The 23678-nt window shown below is 38.7% G+C and overlaps 1 protein-coding gene across 4 annotated transcripts in view; it reads left to right on the top strand.

The window, feature by feature from the left end:
- Window positions 1-23678, top strand: part of TMCO1 (transmembrane and coiled-coil domains 1) — a 44632-nt gene that overhangs the window by 5185 nt on the left and 15769 nt on the right. For all 4 annotated transcript variants that reach the window (NR_045818.1, NM_001256164.1, NM_001256165.1 and 1 more), the window contains exons 3-6: window positions 4154-4213; window positions 9464-9510; window positions 11569-11636; window positions 20427-20571. Coding sequence is in view for 3 of the 4 variants with exons in the window: in NM_001256164.1 (NP_001243093.1) it covers window positions 4154-4213; window positions 9464-9510; window positions 11569-11636; window positions 20427-20571 (320 nt within the window). In the remaining variant the exon portion in view is untranslated. The remainder of the gene's footprint in view (window positions 1-4153; window positions 4214-9463; window positions 9511-11568; window positions 11637-20426; window positions 20572-23678) is intronic.

Genomic DNA, 23678 nt, shown 5'->3' with positions numbered 1-23678 from the left:
GGGAGGATTGCTTGAGCTCAGGAGGCGGGGTTTGCAGTGAGCAGAGAGGGGAGATTGGGCCACTGCATTCCAGCCTAGGTGACAGAGTTGAGACCCAATCTCTAACAAAAATGAAACAAAGTAATACATTTGCCAGTTTACACATCTGTAGTTGCAATTTTACTATAATTTCTTCATATGCTTCCTTTGAAGGTAAGTATGAGGTAGGTTGATGATTGGAATGACTCATGGCATTTCTTGTGGTCTTAGGTCCTCTACTCTGGATAATCTACCAAAACTCAGTAAACGTGTATTATTTTTATTTATGTGATCAGTCGACTTATTTGATTGCTTGCTATGTGTTTAGTTTACTGTAGTAAGTACAATATGAAATGAGCGGCCACAAATTCTGTCTTCTGGAATGTATAATCAAATGCACAACTATTATATTTAGCATGAGGAATATTAAAAAGGAAAAATATAAGGTAAATTTCCTCTTTGAACAAATGTCTTAATTGCAAATACAGAATTCCTTCTGATACTTTGTATTCAGAACGTAGTATGAATTTAAGCAAGGGAAGTTTGTAGGGTTTTTGAAGAATATCAAAAATATAAAGAGGTTTGAATCAGAATTTGATACAGGTTACTTTGCTTGTGCTGATCTGGTCCTTGGCATTTTTAGAAGAATACTGTTGTCCAAAAAGCAGTCCTACTGAGCTGCTTTTAACAAAAGGAAATGCTTTCTTAAAGGTAGTGAGTTGGTTGACTCAGGTGGTCACTGGGCTTATAGATGTATTCTAAATATCAGTAGGTCTTCTTTTATTGTGTTACTATTATAATATATACTAATGAAAGGATACTTCAATAAATGAAAAAGATTAAAATACAGTATATATAACTTGATTCTTGTAACACAGTTGTTTATTTGAGAGCACTTACTAAGTATAAATTGCTGTGAAGTATGAGGTATTTCTGTTGTTTACGGTAAAATAGGATAAATCTTTTAGAATAATTTATAAACTGTTTGGCAGAACTCTGGAATTTAGAATGCAGGAATACAGATCATGGACAGAAATGTGTTTCATAGTAGACATCTTTTATTTTTGTCAACTCTGACATTTCTACTTCTTGTTGTCAGGTGAGATTCTGATGAATAAATATCCACACACCAAGGTTTCATCACAACCTCATGAAGTTTGAAAAACATTAGATTAATTTATCCCTAAAAACAATTTATCTAGTCTCAATCTGGTCTTCTAGAAGACCAGACTAATGTTTATGGAATTGTCTTATGTTTCTATTCTCTAGCCTTCTGTCTTTTTATTGCCCTGTTTTCTATGCAGTCATGGTTAAATGCCAAGTAGTTGTGTTATAGTCCTTCTGGGGTGGGAAAGAAATATTTTTGTTTCTTTGTTTAATAACAATGATAAAGAACAAAACATTAAGTGTTTTCTGTCCATTTTGTCTTTTAAAATGTTATCCTTATAACATTTTAATAAAAATGTTATCCTTATAACATTTTAATAAAAATGTTATCCTTATAACATTTTAATAAAAATGTTATCCTTATAACATTTTAATAAAAATGTTATCCTTATAACATTTTAATAAAAATGTTATCCTTATAACATTTTAATAAAAATGTTATCCTTATAACATTTTAATAAAAATGTTATCCTTATAACATTTTAATAAAAATGTTATCCTTATAACATTTTAATAAAAATGTTATCCTTATAACATTTTAATAAAAATGTTATCCTTATAACATTTTAATAAAAATGTTTATTATTTATTTATTTATTTTTTTGAGACAGGGTTTCACTCTGTCACCCAGGTTGGAGTGCAGTGGCCCAATCATGGCTCACTGCAGTCTTGACTTCCTGGGCTTCCATGATCCTCTCATCTCAGCCTCCTGAGTAGCTGGGACCACAGGAGTGCACCACCATGGCCGGCTGATTTTTGTAGTTTTGGTAGAGACGAGGTTTCACCGTGTTGCCCATGCTGATCTCGAACTCCTGAACTGAAATGATCTTCCCATCTTGGCCTCTCAGAGTGCTGGGCTTACAGAACTGAGCCACTGCACCCGACATAAAATGTTATTTTTATAACATTTTAAAATGTGAAATTTGACATTTTTCTTTTATGATCTCTCACTAGTATGTTCATTCAAAATCTTTCTCTCTCTCTTTCCATGTACATGATGTTTTGTTTTATTTTATTTTGGCGACAGGGTCTCGCTCTCGCATAGGCTGGAGTGCAGTGAAGTGAACACAGCTCACTGCAGCCTCAAGCTCCTGGGCTCAGGAGCTCCTCCTGCCTCAGCCTCCTGAGTAGCTGGGACTATAGGCATGTGCCACCACACTCGGCTAATTTTTCAATTTTTTATAGAGACAGAGTCTTGCCATGTTGCCCAGGCTGATCCCAAACTCCTGGGCTCAAGCAGTCTTCCCACTTCAACCTACCAGAGTGCTGGGATTACAGGTTTGAGCCACCATGCCTGGCCTGTATCTTACCTTTCTATTTACCTAGAACAGTATCTGTTACTTAGTCTTCCAGAACAAACACACACACACACACACACACAAATACACAAAACACATATTTTATTTTGGCCAGCCTTTTAAATTTCATTTGCAATATTGGAGTCAAGTTGAATTTTACAATTCTTGGATAAAGCAGTGATACCAATTTTGCTTTTAGAATTCAGGGACAAACTTCATGTACTAAGGGAAAGAGTTCTACCCGCTAATTCTCTTTAATGTAGGTTTTAGAAATGGTACCTATACCGTACTGTTTGCTATTAGTATACTAAGATAATATGGGTAACAGATAATATAAATAAACTAAGTAAAGGTAATTTTTGACATATCCCTAGTCCATTTACAGGTGATTAAAGATGGTAAATATAATATAAATACATTACACTATTTCTTTTTCTTTCTTTTTTTTATTTTTTGAGATGGGGTCTCGCTCTGTCGCCAGGCTGGAGTTCAGTGGCGAGATCTTGGCTCACTGCAACTTCTGCCTTCCGGGTTCAAGCGATTCTCTTGCCTCTGCCTCCCAAGTAGCTGGGACTACAGGCACGCGCCACATGCCCAGCTAAATTTTGTATTTTTAGTAGAGATGGGTTTTCACCATGTTGGCCAGGATGATCTCAATCTCTTGACCTCATGATCTGCCCACCTCGGCCTTCCAAAGTGCTGGAATTACAGGTGTGAGCCGCTGCACCCGGCCCACTATTTCTTTTTCAAAAGCTTATTGTTATGTAATCATGATAGTAATTGAAATGCATCAGAAAAATTGGTATTTTTTTTTTTTTTTTTGAGAAACAGAGTCTCGCTCTATTGCCCAGACTGGAGTAGAGTGGTGTGATCTAAACTCACTGCAACCTCCACCGCCTGGATTCAAGTGATTCTCCTGCCTCAGCTTCCCAAGTAGCTGGAATTATAGGCATATGCCACTACGCCCAGCTAATTTTTGTATGTTTTTTAGTAGAGACGGGGTTTCACTATATGTTGGCCAGGCTGGTCTCAAACTCCTGACCTCAGGTGATCTGCCCGCCTAGGCCTCCCAAAGTGCTGGGGTTATAGGTGTGAGCCACTGCGTCTGTCTGGTCTTAGCTTTTTTGGCTCTCCTGATTTTCCTGCAGTGTGCGTATAACTATCTTGTCACATTACTGTAATTGTCATTTGATTATTTCCCCTGACTAGATTATTCTTTAGAAGGTAGGGATCATTTTTTTTTCATCTGCTTAGAGTTATTTAGGCAGCCAATAACTGAGTGAATAAATTTCTACCTTCTGTCATAAGAGAATGGAATTACAATTAACCCTAGTTATCTGAGAGAATAGAAATTTGAAAATTGTGCTTTGAAACTAGCTAAGGTAATCATCCTCAGCTGATGGTCTGTTTTCATTATGATTATATCAATACAATTCTTTATGGGTATTTGATTAATGATGCTTATAATTGTTGTTTCATTCTTAGAATATTGTATCTACCTTTTACCATCAGTAGCTATGAGAGTGGACCAGTTAACTTAATCATGACCATAATCAGTCAGTGTGTAACTTTCTTGCAAGCTTCTTTCATTGGTTCAGCTGTGATAAAGCATCCTTTGTTTCTTTAGTATAATCCAGTTAATTTTTACTGTGTTACTATGTTGTTTACAGTGGAAAAGAAGAAGGAAACAATAACAGAGTCAGCTGGTCGACAACAGAAAAAGAAAATAGGTAAGATGAGATATTAGTCAAAATGAAATTTGGGTTTTCTTAAAAAAATTAATTCTTAGATAATGAAAATATAAAATTATTAATAGTGATAACTCACATTTCTATGATTTTATGGTTTATAAAGCACATGCATACTTTATCTCACTTGATTCTTACCCATTTTGTGAGGTGTACAGGACAAATTTAAGCAGTTCCTCTATTTTTGCTCTTAGCTTTGGAATTTGAGTTTTGTAAAATGACAGTTGTGGCTTTTGAACTTGGCTGAGGGTTTTTGGCATAGTTTGTAAAAGCATGTTGTTTTTTATATCTGAGATGATTATTTCCACTTAAGTCTTACTTGTATTCATTGTTTCCATGGCTTCCTTACTGAGTATTGACTAGTGATGGAAATCCACCAAGGGGTAGGAAATTTTCTGAGTAATTTTGATATACTTGGAGAAATAATGACCATATCATGTGTTTTTAGTTTTTTAGTATAACTTAGAATTTAAGTAATTCTGTTTCCAAAAGACAATTCGTAAAGGATTGTATATGATTTGTTTTTATACATTATGACATTTCTTGATTCTGAAATTAGGAAAAAAATTATTATGAGATTGTGTATTTGTTTTAGAAACTGTGTCTGTATCCCTAGGTCACTGCTGTTACAACCCAGGGGAGAATTCCATGCGATTAGACTATGTCAATTCCTGTTCTGATTAAAGTTTTTCAGTTAGTATAGCGATCCTGGATGTTTTTTAAGTGGTCTGTTCACTTAATTCTATGAGAAAATGCTATTGAACATTTACGCTGTATGTGTCAGTTACTCCTAACAGCATTGGAGAAACAAAGTAGAAAAAGATTCTATTTTTATGAGCTCTATTTAGAGAGGGAAAATAGACCAGAAAATAAATGATTACTATGCAGGATGATAAGTACTTTTTTGTTTGTTTGCTTGTTTTTTTCTGTTTTTGTTTTTGTTTTTTTTTGAGACAGAGTTTCACTCTTGTTTCCTAGGCTGTAGTGCAGTGGTGTGATCTCGGCTCACTGCAACCTCTGCCTCCCGGGTTCAAGCGATTTTCCTGCCTCAGCCTCACGAGTAGGTGGGACTATAGGCATGCACCACCACACCTGGCTAATTTTTGTATTTTTAGTAGAGACGGGATTTTGCCATGTTAGCCAGGCTGGTCTCGAACTCCTGACCTCAGGTGATCCGCCGCCTCAACCTCTCCAAGTGCTGGGCTTGTAGACATGAGCCACTATGCCGGCCAAGAGTCTTGAGGAACAGAAATTTAAGGAACAACAGAAGAAGTAAAGTTCTGAAAAAGTATTGCCAGATAAGTTGGAAAGTAGTAGTGTCACAGAAGTTGAGAGGAGAGTGTCAGGGAGGAGGAAGGGCCTGATGATGATGGTAAATGTCTAAGAAATGGAGGTTATTAGTGCTTCTAGCAAAAATGGTTTCAGTGGCATGATGGGGGACAGAAGCCAGATCATATAGATGAAGAAGAGAATGCAGACATTGAGAATGCAGACAGTGAGAAAATGAAGACATTCAACATGGACAACTCTTTCAAGTACCTTTGCTATAAAGAATAGGAAGGATATAAAAATGGAAGGCAGATTATCCTCTGTCCTTAAATTGGCAACACGGTGTATCTGAATTCAAATGATCTTAACATGGAGTGTAACCTTGAATTGTTTGCTCACCCCAGAAAAACTCATCAGAAGTTATAAGAAATAATATTTATTGCCAGGCATGGTGGCTCACGCTTGTAATCCCAGCACTTTGGGAAACCAAGACGGGTGGGTCACCTGAGGTCAGGAGTTCAAGACTAGCCTGACCAACATGGCGAAACCCCGTCTCTACTAAAAATACAAAAATTAACCAGGCGTGGTGGTGCATGCCTATAATCCCAGCTACTTGGGAGGCTGAGGCAGGAGAATCCACTTGAATCTGGGAGGTGGAGGTTGTAGTGCGCCGAGATCGCGCCATTGTACTCCAGACTGGGCAACAAGAGCAAAACTTTGTCGCAAAAAAGGAAGTAGTATTTATGAAGAGTTGCTTATCAAAATCTTATTAGAAATTATGAGATGTAATATTTATGAAGAATTGCTTGAAAGATGATCTATCCATTCTCTAGATTTGTACATTTTAATCTTAGATTAAGCCAGACTATCAGAAATCTGTAAACCTAAACTGGATTATTTTGGACTTCATAAAACGCTTTTACTGTATTTCGCCTTGGCATTTGCATTGTTAGGCTTATTATGAAAAATTCAGCCAGGTATAATACAATTTGTTATAGTACTACTATGGAATATATTCAAAAACATCCACAACATTACACAATTGTCTTTTGATAAGAAATTGTGGAAACTGTTTCTATTAGTTTTCAATATCAGGAAAAGTAGCAGTTCTCATAAGTAATTGATTTATTTTATCTTACGGACACTGTGCTCGAACTGATTTTTGTTTTCCTTTGAATCGGCTGCTGATAAGCCTGGAATGAGACTTGCTCATTCTCATGCAAGAAAATCATGAGATTTGCTCATTTGGTGTTCATCTCCAGCAACTTTATAGGACCAATTAAATGTATTTTTATGTACTGATCCTATATAGTTTCATTATTATCTAACCCTTACTTTTTCTTAGCCCAGATTCCTCACTTGAGCTTATTTACAAATATATACTATATTTGTATATATAGTATATATTTGTAAATATATATATAGTATCTGGGGAAAAGGGAGTATAAAGAGTAAAGCCACTGCACTGAAAGAAGGGAGTTTTCAGTAAGAGGGAAGCAGCCAGCAATATTCAGTGTTCCGGAGAAGCAAAATGTCATTGATTTCACTAGGTGAAGCTCTTTGATAACAATCCTTGAGAGAACCATTAATCTGCAGTGGAAGCGTCCTTTGCTTTTTAACTGAAGATTTGATGTTCCCAATTCTTAATTTCAGGAGCAAATGTTTTGACTATTTTGCATTTCCCTCTTATAAGAAGAAAAATGAATTTACTTTTGGTATATGAATTTTATATAGTTTGTTTTGTTGTATTCCAAATAAAGAAGTCATAAGGGGTTTATTTGAAGGATATACGTGATGAGAAACTCAGGCAAAGCTGAACTAAGTGGTTACAGGAAGGCAGGAACCGTGGTAAAGCAAGTCCTGCAAGCAGAGCAAGTCTTGAGAAAAAGCTGGACAGGGATCTTCACTGTAAGACTTCACTAATTTTTTTGGCATTCAGCTTTTGTCTTCACCTAACCTTCCCTGTGTCCTTCCCCACTCCCAACCCCTTAGGAATATCTGCTCCAGATGCTTGTGTCCTTGGGTTCTATCTCAGTATTTTCATAATGTGATCCATAGATTACCTACATCAATATTGCTTGAGATACTTGTGAAAAATGAAGGGTTCTAAGTATTACTCCCAGACTTTACTGAATCAGGATCTCTGGATGTGGGACCCAGGAGTCTACTTTTTTCTTTTTTTTTTTTTTTAAACAAGCTGCCCATATAATTCTTAGGCAAATTAAAGTTTCAGAGCCAGTACCATATTATAACTTTTCTATTTCTGTTCCCATAGTTAATTGATTTATTTTCCCAAAATTTTCTAGCATAAATTCCTGAGAGAGGAATCTAATTGGCCCAGCTGATCTTTTTATGTCATAGGTCATGGGAGAGCCTATGGTTTGGCTGCCTCTTGGGTCAGCAGTAGTAGGACAGAGGGTGTTATAAATCTTCATGAGGCTAACCCTTCAACAAGGTATGGTGCCAGGCAGATGTCCCCAGAAGGTGGATGGGAAAGGGAGAGCAGACATTCTGAAGCTTGTCTGAGTGGGATAAGTATCTCTTTTCTTTTTTTGTTTTGTTTTGCTTTTGTTTTTGTTTTTGAAGCAAGGTTACCCTCTGTCAGCCCAGGCTGAAGTATAGTGGCATGTTCATGGCTCACCACAACCCCAACTCCTCTTGCCTCAGCCTCCTTGAATAGCTCAGACTACAGGCATATACCACCATGCCTGGCTAATTTTAAGTTTTTTGTAGAGATGGGGTCTCTCTGTGTTGCCCTTGAACTCCTGGACTCAAGCAATCCTCCTACCTCAGCCTCCCAAAGAGCTGGGATTACAGGTGTGGGCTACCACACATGGCCTCTTTTCTTCATGACTTGGATTTAAATATGAGAGGAAATTTTTGAAATTTAATATATTTGGGGCCCTGAATTTATACACTCATTCTAGGCCTTTTTCTATGTTATTTGGATTGGCTGAAGGTCTACTGACTCTGTGGTCAGAATGGATGTCATCATTGCTACTAGTTTATTCCAATAGCCACAAGAAATGTAGCCTCCATTTTTGGAGTATTCCTTTTCTGAATTTTAATTTTCCCTTTTGCTAGTCACCTTGGAAAAGAAATCATTCTAAATATAAATGTATCTTTTGCATATTTCCAGATTATTCTCTCCATGAAATTTTGTCAAATTTCATAGATGTTGTATTCTAAAGGTTCACTACTTAGAGAATGCGTAGTTTTTTGTTTTTGTTTTTGTTTTTGTTTTCAGACAGAGTCTCACCCTATCGCCCAGGCTGGAGCACAGTGACGCGTTCATGGCCCACTGCAGCCTCAAACTCCTGGGCTCAAGTAATCCTCCCACTGTAGCCTCCCAAGTAGCTGGGACTACAGGGGCACACCATCACGGTTGGCTAATTTGTAAATTTTTTGCAGAGACAGGGTCTTGCTATGTTGCCCAGGATGGTCTTGAACTCCTGGCCTCAAGTGATCTTCTCACCTCAGCCTCCCAAAGAGCTGGGATTGCCCAGCTAGAACCTGAATTTTAAGTTCATCCTATCAACTGGCTTATAATTTTAGACTATATGCCATTTTAGAGAAATTGAAAAAATAGAAAATTTAAGAGAAGGATAACTAATTTGAGACATCTAAGTACAATCATTATGTTATACTTACAAATTAACTGATTGGCAATTCCCTTTGGTGTAACATAAGCATATATATTAATGTACAGAGTTAAGACATTTAATACCAGAGGTAATTTCAAAAAAACACTAAAGATTTATTTATTTAAATTGAAATATTTTGGTGCTCTGCTGCATTTGAATCTTCTGAGTACAAAACGTATACTATCCCAGGTGTTTTCATCATCTTATTAAATGATATTGAGATAGAGTGCTTTTGTAATCACCAATCAGTGACAGTTTATTTAACAGCTGCTTTGTGCTCAGCATTGTATGTATTAACCATCTCATTAATTCTTTGCAGAGAGACAAGAAGAGAAACTGAAGAATAACAACAGAGATCTATCAATGGTAAGAGACCTAACTATAACTTCATGGTTAACCACATAATATTTTTAGCAAAAGACTGATTTACATCAAGTGCATTGCACTCACCTTTTCAGAAATTTATCACCTGTGAAGGCTATAAATAATATCATGGGTGTTCCTGGACCAAATGGAAGTGAAAATATGCTCCTGCTCTTAAACTTCATTTTAATACTATAAATAGCTTTTTTAGACTGTCTCAGAGGTCATAATTTGTCCTCTTCACACAGTTCTTAGTTCCCTCTTATGTTTTCAAATGAAGTAGTTTATTTTCTTTTTCTTCTTTACGTTAATGCTGAATCTTTGGTTTTATGGTGATGTGTGTAATTCCAGTATAGAAGTTGGAACATTATAAATGGCTTTTATTACTGTCTTGTGTTCTTTTTTCTTTTTTCTTTTTTAGAGACAGGATCTTGCTTTGTCAACCATGCTGGAATGCAGTAGCACGATCAGAGCTCACTGCCACTGTGAATTCTTGGGCTCTAGGGACCCTCTTGTCTCAGCCTCCCAAGTAGCTGGGACTACAGGAGTACACCACGCCCGGCTAATTTTTAATTTTTTTTTGTAGAGATGAGGTCTTGCTATCTTGGCTACACTGATCTTGAATTCCTGGGCACACTGATCTTGAATTCCTGGGCTCAAGTGATGGATCCTCCAGCCCCAGCCACCCAGAGTGTTGGGATTATAGGCGTGAGCCACTGCACCCTGCCAAGTCTTTTTTTTTTTTTTTTTTTTTTTTTGAGACAGAGTCTTGCTCTATTACCAAGGTTGGAGTGCAGTGGCTCTACCTCGACTGACTGCAAACTCTGCCACCTGGGCTTGTGCGCTCCTCCTACCTCAGCCTTGCAAGTAGCTGGGATTACAGGCGTGTGCCACCATGCCTGGCTTATTTTTGTATTTTTTGTACAGACAGGGTCTTGCTATGTTGCCCAGGCTGGTCTTGAACTCCTGAGCTCAAGCCATCCACCTGCCTCGGCCTCCCAAAGTGCTGGGATTACAGGTGTGAGCTACCGTGCCTGGCTCTTTTGTTCTTTAAGAGACCTTTTGTTCTCAGTATCTGGCATACCATGAAGTATAAGGAAAACTGATTTCACTACCAATTTCCTCATTATTTATTAAGAGTAGGCTTTATTTGAGCATATCTTCCTAAAGCATAGATAGGCTAATTATATAGCTTGATTAATTTTTCACTTAACTTCTATATATTTAACACAGGACACCTGAACTGTGCAATAGTTCTCTTTTACTTACTGAGAGACCTTTTGCCAGTACTTATTAACTCATTGGCCAGAATTGGGCCACAAAGTCACCCCAATATTCTTCCTCACCGGGTGGCAAGAAGAGGAATTGGAGGTGAAGGGTGGGTTACCCAACATACAGCTATAGCTTTTTGCTAAGGAGTACTATTTTTTTTTTTTGAGACGGAGTCTCACTCTGTCGCCTGGGGCAGGAGTGCAATGGCACAATCTCGGCTCACTGCAACCTCCGCCTCTCAGGTTCAAGTGATTCTCCTGCCTCAGCCTCCCGAGTAGCTGGGATTACAGGCACCCGCCAGTACGCCTGGCTAATTTTTTGTATTTTTAGTAGAGATGGGGTTTCACCATGTTGGCCAGGCTGGTCTTGAACTGCTACGGAGATTTAAAAAAAAAATGACGTGAGGCTGGGCGCAATGGCTCACGCCTGTAATCCCAGCACTTTGGGAGGCCGAGGCGGGGGGGTCACAAGGTCAGGGGATTGAGACCATCCTGGCTAACACGGTGAAACTCCATGTCTACTAAAAATACAAAAAATCAGCCAAGCGTGGTGGCGGGCCCCTGTAGTCCCAGCTACTCGGGAGGCTGAGGCAAGGGAATGGCGTGAACCCGGGGGGACGGAGCTTGCAGTGAGCCGAGATTGCGCCACTGTACTCCAGCCTGGGAGACAGAGCAAGACTCTGCCTCAAAAAAAAAAAAAAAAAAAATGACATGAAACCAAAACTTTTGAGATATGCTTTAGATGTGTTTTTTTTTAGTGTAAAATGACAATTTGTTCGTCTCATTACAGGTTCGAATGAAATCCATGTTTGCTATTGGCTTTTGTTTTACTGCCCTAATGGGAATGTTCAATTCCATGTGAGTGTCCTTTTATATGCTTTTGACTAATAACTATTACTCTATATTTGTATGTATGTTAGCATGAACTTTTTGGGTAAAATATTTTATTTTGATGTAATTTCAAACTTAAAGAAAAGTTGCAAGAATAGTATATCCATTACCTACATTCACAGTTGTTAATGTTTTGCTTCACTTCTTTTTTTTCTTTTTCTCTCTTTTCTTTCTCTATTATATGTGTGCTCATCCATACATTATTTATGTATTTTTCTTAATCATTTGAGAGTATGTTGTAGGCTGTATGCCCCGTTTCCCATAACTACTTCTCTGTATATTTCCTAAGGACATTTTCTTATATAACTTCAAAACAATTATCAAAATCAAGGGAATTTTTGTTTTTTGGGTCTTTTTTTTTTTTGAGACGGAGTCTTGCTCTGTCACCCAGGCTGGAGTGCAGTGGCGCAATCTTGGCTCACTGCAACCTCTGTCTTCCTGCGTTCAAGCGATTCTCCTATCTCAGCCTCCCGAGTAGCTGGTACTACAGGCATGCACCACCATGCCCAGCTAATTTTTGTATTTTTAGTAGAGACGGGGTTTTGCCATGTTGGTCAGGCTGGTCTCAAACTCCTAACCTCAGGTGATTCACCTGCCTCGGCCTCCCAAAGTGCTGGGATTACAGGCGTGAGCCACCACGCCCAGCCAGAATTTAATTTTTATAAAATACAATTACACAATAACTTTTTTACCCTTTTAATATTGAGGGTGTTTTATGTATAAGACATAAGGCGTAGGCATTATGGGTTCTCTATAGAGAATTTAATATGTTCCCTCTTTTTCAGTTGCTTACTAACATGCTGCTTCAAAATGAAGGTAGTCATAAAAAGATCTTTTGCTTCTTAAAATAGAGTCTTAATAACTATAATCTTGTTTAATGATAAGGTAAATTACTGTTGTCTAAACCAGCATATAGCAGACCAGAGTAATTATGGAACTGAGTTTGACAGAAAATATCCAACGATGATAGTAATTTATTATCTTTTTGTTGTTGTTGTTCGGGACAGAGTCTCTCTCTGTCACCAGGCGGGAGTGCAGTGGCGCGATCTCAGCTCACTGCAACTTCTGCCTCCTGGGTTCAAGTGATTCTCCTGCCTCAGCCTCCCGAGTAGCTGGGACTACAGGTGTGTGCCACCATGCCTGGCTACTTTTTGTATTTTTGGTAGAGACGGGGTTTCACCATGTTGGCCAGGCTGGTCTCAAATTCCTGACCTCAAGTGATCCTCCCACCCAGGCCTCCCAAAGTGCTGGGATTACAGGCGTGAGCCACCACGCCTGGCCCAGGCTAATTTTTAAAAAGTTTTTTGTACAGACAAGGTGTCACTGTGTTGCCCAGGCTGAATATAAACTTTAATACAGAAGAATGGTTGTTTTGTAACCTGCTATAATTTTTGTCCACACAAAAGTCTGTGGGCAATTTTTAAAACATGATATATGTATTAATTTCTGTAACTTACTCTTTTTTGAAATGTCTTTATAATGTTCCATTGAATGGATGTACTTTTTTTTTTTTTTCTTTTTTTTTTTGAGACGGAGTTTTGCTCTTTATGCCCAGGCTGGAGTGCAATGGCCTGGTCTCAACACACTGCTATCTCCGCCTCTTGGGTTGAAGCCATTCTCCTGCCTCAGCCTCCCGAGTAGCTGGGATTACAGGTGCGAACCACCACACCCAGCTAATTTTTTGTATTTTTAGTAGAGATGGGTTTTCACCATGTTGGCCAGGCTGGTCTCGAACTCATGACCTCAGGTGATTTGCTCACCTTGGCCTCCCAAAGTGCTGGGATTACAGGTGTGAGCCATTGCGCCTGGCCAGGATGTACTCTGTTTAACTAATTTTTTATTAATCATCATAAAGAATTTTTAGATAGTATGTATACCAATGTATACTTATTATTCCCTTAGGGTATATCCTAGTATTTCGTGAGTTAAACTTTGGTATATATTGTTCCTTAGATTTTATTAATTTATATCTTTAGATTATTGCCATCAGTACTTGTGAATGGATCTTTCTCCTTATACTTATCATCACTGGAAATTATGATGTATCTGCTTAAAATTTGCCAATTGAATAGTTGAAAAATAATATTTCTTTCAAATTTTTTCATTTTTTTGATAATTTGTGTGAGATTTAACATCTTTTCATATACTTACTATGTTTTTCCAGTTTTAAGTTCCTAGTTCATTCCCTCCACTTGCTCCCTGCCTTCTTTTTTTTGACGTTTATTTTTTATGTTTTTATTTACAAGAGTTTTTTACATATAGAGGCTATTAAACTCTTTTTTTGGAAAATATTTTTTGTTGTTAAAGCTGTTACTCTTTTCCATTAGGTAAGTAATGCCATTCGTCATATCAGATTATAGAAAAATTTTTTTCCTGTTTTTTTCTATTTTCTTATTTATTTATTTAAAGACAGGTTTTCACTCCATTACCCAGGCCGGAGTGCAGTGGTGCAGTCATTGCCCACTGCATCCTTGAACTCCTGGGCCCCAGTGATCCCTACCTCTGGCCTCCCAGAGTGTTGGGGTTACAGGCATGAGCCACTGCACCTAGCCTACTTGTTATATTTAAATATTTGTTTCGTCTACAATTTATTTTGGTATTTGGTTTCCAACTTTACTAAGTTTTTAACCATTGTCAATATCACGTAGTTGAATAAATCATCTTTTCCCTGATGATTTGAAATGACTTGTTTATTACGTATCAGTAGCTTCCCAAAACTTAGGCAGTGGATCTTAACCAGGAATGTGCATCAGAATCATATACGGGGGAAAAAATCATATATGGAGTTTTATAAAATAATTTTCTTATATGAGTAATATATAAAACTTATTTCTAAAAAATTCAAACACTTATATAGAATAAAAAGTGAAAGTGAACCCAAATAGATTGAAAACTTAGATCCACACAAAAACCTGTACACAGATGTTTATAGCAGGTTTATTCATAATTGCCAGAAGTTGGAAGGAATCAAGATGTCTTTCGGTAGGTGAAAGGATAAACAAACTGTGGTACAACTAGACAATGAAATATTATTCAGTGCTAAAAAGAAGTGAGCTGGTAAGCCATGAAAAGACATGGAGAAATCTTAAATGCATAATTTTAAGTGAATAAGCTCTTCCAAAAAGGCTGTATACTGTACGATTCCTGCTGTATGAAAAAGGCAAAACTATGGAGACAGTAAAAAGATCAATGGTTGCCAGGAGTTAGGAGGAAGGGAAGGATGACTAGGCAGAGCACAGAGGATTCTTTAGGGCAATGAGATTATTCTTTATGATACTATAATGGTAGATAACATGTTATTATATATTTGTCCAAACCCATAGAATGTACAACACCAAGAATGAACCCTAATGTCAACCATGGACTTTGAAACTCACTTGGAACCAATTGTGTTCCCTGTGAAAGCAGCATTCTCATCCATATGTTTTAGTGGTACTCAATTCTCATCACCAGGAATTCAAACCTTTTTTGTTTCCCTTCCTCTCCCTCTTCTTTTCATTAGACATTACTCCATATCTGTCCTGTCCCAAATTTAATGATATGTACTGGATTAAATCTGACCCTTTCAACTTTCTCTTCCTCTCAGTTAACAGCCCCTGTTTTCTGTCTGTGTAGTCATTCATTCATCCCTCCCTCTCTTCTCATTCATCCTAGCACCAGCTCCCATCCTAGTTTCAATGATTATTTCCTTTTTTCTCCTTTGCTATTACTTTTTGCTTGGTATCACAATAGCCTGCTTTCGCTCCCTCAGGTGTCTCCTCTCTATCCAACATTGTTAAGTTAGCCATCCTCAGAAGCCTGTTACTCATTGCCTAATAACATTATCTGCTACTGATTAAATAGTAACCCATGTTGGGGACTGTAGTGAACTTTTTATATATGTTACCCTTTTACTGGTTTTTTTTTTTTTGAAATGGAGTCTTGCTGTGTCACCCAGGCTGAAGTGCAGTGGCGTGATCTGGGCTCACCGTAACCTCCACCTCCCGGGTTCAAGCGATTCTCCTGCCTCAGCTTCCTGAGTAGCTGAGATTACAGGGACTCGCCCCCACACCAAGCTAATTTTTGTATTTTTAGTAGACATGGGGTTTCACCATGTTGGCAAGGCTGGTCTTGAATTCCTGACCTCAGGTGATCTGCCTGCCTCGGCCTCCCAGAGTGCTGGTATTACAGGTGTGAGCCACCACGCCCTGCCTTCCCTTTTACTTTTAACAGTCTTCTAAGATAAGAATTCTAATCTTTATTTTACAGATGAGGACGTGAGACTCTAAGTCACTTAACTTGCTCAAGGTCTCCAAGCTAGTAAATGTTGAGCTGGGGTTTAACCCTGTCTCTCAGACTCTAAAGTCCACACTTATCACCATGCAACCCTGACTATTGATTTTAGTCAGACTCCTTACCCTGGCTCTCATGACATTCCATGCTTTGGCCCCAGCCTGTTTTTCAAACTATTTTCTTATCATTGCCTACTACGTACTCTGTTTTAACTGTATTGTTCACTGTTCCTGGGGCACTTATTCTTTCAAATGAATTTTAGAATCAATCAAGTGTCAGCTTCCTCTAAAATAATCCCTTCTGAGTTTTGTCTGAAATTTTATTAAATTTGTACATTAATTTTGAGGTATTAAATACCTTTATAATTTTTAGTATTCCCATCCAGAAACATGGTATTTCTGCCAAGTCTATTTTATATACTTTCTGTAGTTTCTTTCCAAATAAGTATAAGTAATATTTCATATTTTCTAGTTTGCTACTACTGTCTATAAGTAGCTTATCAATTTTTTTTTTTTTTTTTTTTTTTTTTGAGACAGAGCCTCACACTGTTCTCTGTTGCCCAGGCTAGAGTGCAGTGGCACGATCTTGGCTCATTGCAGCCTCTACCTCCCGGGTTCAAGTGATTCTCCTGCCTCATCCTCCCGAGTAGGTGGGATTACAGGCAGGCATCACTACGCCTGGCTTATTTTTGTATTTTTAGTAGAGATGGGGTTTCACCATGTTGGCCAGGCTAGTCTTGAGCTCCTGACCTCAAGTGATCCACCTGCCTCAGCCTCCCAAAATGCTGGGATTACAGGCGTGAGCCACCATGCCCAGCAGGTTATCAATTTTTGTGATTTTATTTTCTAATTGGACATCTTCCTGAACTCTCCTAGCTTTTAATTTGATTCTCTAGTTTTCTAGATAGATAATCATATGATCAGACAAATAATATTGTCATCTTTTCCAAATTCTCTTTTCCCTCCATCCCTTCCTTTCTCTCCATCACTGTTCTCTAGTTCTATTGTGCAATGAATTAGAACAACCAGAAGAGGGTTAAATACTCAAAGGTAAAATACCAACGATACTGCAGTAAAGATGGGAACAAGATGAAGAGAATGCCCATATCACTGCTATGATATTTATGAAATTTTTAAAGAATGGAGGTTTTCAAAGCTATATGCAAGCATATGTGATATGTTATCCTTAATAGAGTTAATAATATAATAAGCACTTATCAAATATTTGGTGATTAAGTTATTAGACCTTGGACCAGTATTGAAATGCCAGATTATTTTTGCAGTTCATCAATATAAAATACTAGATGCTGTGTGTGTGTGTGTGTGTGTGTGTGTGTGTGTGTGATATAGGTCTTCCAAGCTATAGAAGTCAAAGAAGTCAAGTAGAGTATCTTCAAGGAGGAAAATTATATGAAAGCTTCATTATAATCAGGTTTCTTATAAAAGGATATGTTGGCAGGAAAGAAGGCTATTTTTTTTTTTTTTTTTTGAGATGGAGTCTAGCTCTGTCGCCCAGGCTGGAGTGCAGTGGCACAATCTCGGCTCACTACGACCTCCGCCTCCTGCATTCAAGCAATTCTTCTGCCTCAGCCTCCCAAGTAGCTGGGACTACAGGCATGCACCACCATGCCTGGCTAATTTTCTTATCATTGCCTACTACCTACTCTGTTTTGTATTGTTAGTACAGAGGGGGTTCCACCATATTGGCCAGGCTGGTCTCAAACTCCTGACCTCGTGATCCACCCGCCTCAGCCTCCCAAAGTGCTGGGATTACAGGCGTGAGCCACCGCTCCTGGCCTTCTTTTTTTGTTTTTATGTATATTATTTTCAGCAACTTTCTTATTCAGAACACTGGCAAACAATAGCTTTTTATTTGCTTGTTTTGTTTTCCCAAACTAGTGGAGGTTCGCATAATATATTTTACCAATATTAGTGCTGTATTCATGTTTTTGTTCTGGTCTTTGTACCCTGTACATTTAAAAAAAATATTGTGTCTTAGATTGTCAGCACCTAGAAGTTAAAGGCTGTACATCTATTTTTATAAACTGGCATATGAAATTAAAAGTCTAATACATGTTTTGATTATATTGGACAAAAGTTATTCAGTCTTTAACATAATTTCTCCAAGTTTAACTTTGATCATCTGTTTTTGAGACCAGATCTTGCTCTGTCACCCAGGCTGGAGTGCAGTGGTGTGATCACTATTCACTGCAGCCTCAACCTGCTGGGCTCAAGTGATCCCCCTACCTTAGCCTCCTGAGTAGCTGGGACTACAGACATGCACCATGACACGTGGCTAATTTTTTTTTTTTTTTTTTTTTTTGGTAGAGATAGGGTTTCGCCATGTTGCCCGGGCTGGTCTCGAACTCATGGCTTCAAGTGATCCTCCTGCCTCGGCCTCTCAAAGTGCTGGGATTATGAGACATGAGCCACCACGCCTGGCCAAGACTATAAGGGATACTAAAAGATTATGTAAGCCAAGAGTGGTGGCTCATTCCTATAATCCCAGCAATTTGGGAGGCTGAGGCAGGAGGATCACTTGAAGCCAGGAGTTTGAGACCAGCCTGAGCAACATAGGAAGACCACAGCTCTACAAAAAAAAAAAAAAAATTAGCCAGACATGGTGCTATACCTCTGTAATCTCACCTTCCTGGGAGGCTGAGGCAGGAGGATTCTTTGAGCCCAGGAGGTCAAGGCTGCAGTGAGCCATGATTGCACCACTGCATTCCAGCCTGAATGACAGAGCGAGACCCTGTGTGAAGCAAACAAAAATAATATCCCTTACACTCTTAAAATTTGTTAACAGCTGGCAGATGCTTTAAGGAAAAAAATCTATGGTTAGACTAAGAAGGGAAGGACTTGAACTCCCAGACTGCCAGAAAAAGGACTAGATATAGCTACTTATTTAGTAGCTGTATCTACTTTTTGGCATCTCTTCCTGAATCATTTACATAAAGTTGAAATAACAGGATTTTAGAATTGAAATTTTTTTTTTTTTTTTTTTTTTGAGATGGAGTTTTGCTCTTGTTGCCCAGGATAGAATGCAATGGCATGATCTCGGCTCACCACAACCTCTGCCTCGCGGGTTCAAGTGATTCTCCTGCCTCAGCCTCCTGAGTAGCTGGGATTACAGGCATGCGCCACCATGCCCGGCTAATTTTGTATTTTTAGTAGACACGGGGTTTCTCCATGTTGGTCAGCTGGTCTCGAACTCCCAACCTCAGGTGATCCGCCTGCCTTGGCCTCCCAAAGTGCTGGAATTACAGGTGTGAGCCACCGTGCCCAGCCTGAAAGAGATCTTAAAAGTCATTTAACACATAACTTCTCTCCTAATACAGAAAGCTCATCACTAATGTCTCTAACAGATAATTTGTCATCCTTTATTTCCAACAATGAGGAGCTTAGTGGTTTCTGAGATAACTAGTACTTTTATTGAGTAGTTTTTAGAGTTTGAAAATAATTCGTTTTACTGGGCCAAAATATGCCTCCCTATATCTGTACTTGTGAGCAGTGATCCTGCCCTCTGGAGTCATAGAGTAAGTGCACTTAAAGAAATAATCCACCTATTGTAAATCATCTCTCTCTTTGCACCTTCCTTCTTCTCTTCCCAGTTTTTTTCTTTATTGTGCTAGACACCAATTTCTGTTCCTTATAACAAGCTTCTATTCCTGTAGGACTTTGAGAGGCTGAGGCAGGCGGATCATGAGGTCAAGAGATCGAGACCATCAAGGCCAACATCGTGAAACCCTGTCTCTACTAAAAATACAAAAATTAGCTGGGTGTGGTGGTGCACATCTGTAATCCCAGCTACTCGGGAGGCTGAGGCAGGAGAATCGCTTGAAGCAGGAGGTGGAGGTTGCAGTGAGCTGAGACGGCGACACTGCACTCTGGCCTGAGTGACAGAGCGAGACTCCATCTCAAAAAAAAAAAAAAGGAATTATCAGAAGATTTTTCAGATTTGTTGCTGGTTTAAAGTCTCATGCATGTTCAACTTCATATAATTAAATAACTTATATATAAAGATATAAAAGATTTTATATCGCTTGAACCCGGGAGGCGAAGGTTGCAATGAGCCGAGATTGTGCCACTGCACTCCAGCCTGACCGACACGGCAAGACTCCGTCTCAAAAAAAATAAATATTAAACATTTCTCATTTTTAATTTCTAATACAGTAAATATTAATAACTATAAGCTACAGAAACACAAAGTTTTTAGGGTCCTAAATAATTTGTCAGTATATAAAGGGGTCTTGATACCAAAAGAATTGAGAATGACTAATTTAGGAAAAGATTGATGAGAATAATCTAGGCTCTTCTTTACATCACCGTACATCAGGTTCATGTGTATTTTTAGCATGTCACCCTCTCTTTGTTTTTCAGAGATCAGAGACTTAAAGCTCTATTTCTGTCCCAGATTCTTCTTTGGAAGTAAGAAAGTTGTCAGTCTTCCAAAGATAACAATTCTTTTTTTTTTTTTTTCTTTTAGATTTGATGGTAGAGTGGTGGCAAAGCTTCCTTTTACCCCTCTTTCTTACATCCAAGGACTGTCTCATCGAAATCTGCTGGGAGATGACACCACAGACTGTTCCTTCATTTTCCTGTATATTCTCTGTACTATGTCGATTCGACAGGTGAGTGATCACATCTACCATTTAATATGTATATTTTTCCTTGCTGTCATACCAATTAGCTTTTACTTTTATAATACTAGAAATGTTTACCCATTGTTCCTGAGTTCTTTCAGTTGCTCATTTTAGAATTTCAGTGTATCTTCCAAAAGCCATTTTAAATGGCTGTAGGTCTAGATGACTGATCCTTAGGGATGAGAAGTAGTGATAAAACCAAACATGGATTCCACATCCCATTCTTAGAGCTCTCAGGCTCCTTCTTTATTACAACTGCCTAAAGCTGCAAAAGTAGAGAGTGGGTTTGGTCTTCCCAGTACCATTTCTTCATTATATACCAGCACCATTTAGCGGCTCAGGAGCACAAGTAAGTTTAACAATGTGGTAATTTTAGGTTATTCACAGTTGAGATAAAGTTTAGGTTATAGAATTTACATTTGGCCAACTTGGTGATTTGACATTCGTAGTGAAAAAGAGTGAGAACTAAGGAGTAAAAGGGTTATGAAGGCCCGGAAGAGAGCTATAACATTCGATTAGTGGGGAAAGGTTCAGGCAGAAAGGTTTAGAGAATGAAGTGGCTTTCGAGATGGGCCTATGGAAGTGAAAAGGTGGCCAGGTGCCGTGGCTCATGCCTGTAATTCCAGCAATTTGGTAGGCTGAGGCGTGAGAATCACCTGAGCTCGGGAATTTGAGACCAGCCTAGGCAACATTGTGAGATTCCATCTCTACAAAAAATTTAAAAATTAGCTGGGTATGGTGGCATGTGCCTGTAGTCCCAGCTACCCTAGAGGCCGAGGTCGGAAGGTCACAAAAGCCTGGGAATTTGAGCTTGAAGTGAGACTTGATTACATCACTGGACTTTAGCCTGGGCAGCAGAGCGGGACCCTGTCTCAAAAAAAGAAAAGGGGGGGAGCCGATAATTAAGGTCTCTGGCTGAACAATTCTTTATTTTAGGGCATTATTCAGTTTCTGAACATATTGCCGTTCGGCAGGCTTTGTAGTGGAAAGGTTTGCACATGCAGTAAATAGGAACATAAAATTTTCCTTACACTTACACAAGTGATTCTCTTTTTCTCCCCTCCTTCTGAATACTGTCTGTGGCAGAAGATTTTTGGTTGCCCTGTGTATTAGTTTGTTCTTGCATTGCTATAAAGAAATACCTGAGACTGGGTAATTTATAAAGAAAAGAGGTTTAATTGGCTTATGGCTCTGTAGATTGTACAGGAAGCATGATGCTAGCATCTGCTCAACTTCTGGGAAGTCCTCAGGAAACTTAGAATCATGGCGGAATGCAGAAGGGAAGCAGGCATGTCACATGGCAAGAGTAGGAACAAGAGAGAGAGGTGGGAGGTATTACACACTTTTAAACAACCAGATCTCGTGAGAACTCACTCACTATCACAAGAACAGTACCAAGGGGGATGGTGCTAAACCACACAATTTGACATGAGATTTGGATGGGGACACAGATTCAAACCATTATCACCCTGGAATGTGAGAATCAATGGGAAATCAAATTATAGTTCATGGCTCACCAAGATCTTTGTCATTGTATTGCTTAATATTTTTTCCCAATTCATATCCCATCACATCCCCACAAATACAGCACTTTGCCCATTCTGGCTTGCTTAATAGTTTTCATGTTACACTCACTCAGATGTACTTTTTGCTTCTGTTTTTCCTTATTTCTGAATGCCTCCCTCTTCTTCCTTTTAAACACAATCAAGTTTTAAGGCTTCCTTTTCTGGCACATATTTTCTGGCACTTACTGCATTGTGAAGGTTAGCTATAAGAGGAGCATGACTAAAATACAGAAATATCAAAAGACTATTATAATAGTGTAGCAAAAAATCATTATGTTATAAACTATAACAGTGAAAAGAGGGATGAAAAGAATGGGAAAAGATTGAGAAATAAATAGAAGGGGAAACCAGCTGAACTTAGTTATTGATTTAATGTGAAGGAGAAAGGAAAAACTAAGAGGACTTTCAGGTTTTTTATTTTGGTGACCAAATGGGGACTAGTTTCACTAAGAGACTGGGAATAGAAGAAAGAAGAGTATGTTGGTTAGAAGACACGCTGAGTTTGAGGTGTTTGTTGAATAGCTAAATGATTATGTCCACCAATAAGTTGTACTCTTGCTTAGCTGAGGTATATACTTAAATTTTTGAAATGGTCTCTGTAATAGAGCTGCCCTAGCCCATTTTCTGTTGCTGTAACAGTATACCACAGCCTGGCTAATTTATAAAGACAATTTAGCTCACAGTTCTGCAGGAAGGCCAAGAGCATGGTGCTGGCATCTACTGAGGGCCTTCCTGCTACATCATAAGATGGTGGAGGACATCACATGGTGAGAAGGCAAGAGCGAGAACCAGAGAGAACTCACTTTTATAGCAAAGCCACTCGTGATAAGGAACCCACTCCAGTGATAATGACATTAATCTATTCATGAGGGCAGAGGGATTACATTTCCACCACATGAACTTTTCGGGGACACATTCAAACCATAGCAGGAGTTTATTGTGAAAGCTAAGGTAATGACAACACAGATCTCTTTTGGTTTAGCACAGATCCTTTGATCTCTGTGGAATATTGGTCTTTAATTTGTTAAGTCTGAAATTTTAAAATTGTGGCTTGGGTTGACATCTTAATAAAACACAATATGATGGGCCAGGCGCGGTGGCTCACGCCTGTAATCCCAGCACTTTGGGAGGTCGAGGCGGGCGGATCATGAGGTCAGGAGATCGAGACCATCCTGGCTAACACAGTGAAACTCCATCTCTACTAAAAAAAATACAAAGAAAATTAGCTGGGCGTGGTGGTGGTCACCCGTAGTCCCAGCTACTCGGGCGACTGAGGCAGGAGAATGGTGTGAACCTGGAGGCGGAGATTGCAGGGAGCCAAGATCACGCCACTGCACTCCAGCCTGGGCAACAGAGCAAGACTCTGTCTCAAAAAAATAAATAAATAAGTAAAACATAAAAACACACGATGTATATATTTCACTTTAAGCAACAAAGAGCAATTCTGAGTTTGTTGTTGTTGTTGTTGTTATTATTTTGAGACAGAATCTCACTCCATCACCCAGGCTGGAGTGCAATAGCTCGATCTCG

The sequence above is a fragment of the Homo sapiens genome, chromosome 1 (assembly GCF_000001405.40).
Source record: "Homo sapiens chromosome 1, GRCh38.p14 Primary Assembly".
NCBI classification, from domain to species: Eukaryota; Metazoa; Chordata; class Mammalia; order Primates; family Hominidae; genus Homo; species Homo sapiens.
This window is presented reverse-complemented; position numbering and strand designations above follow the sequence as displayed.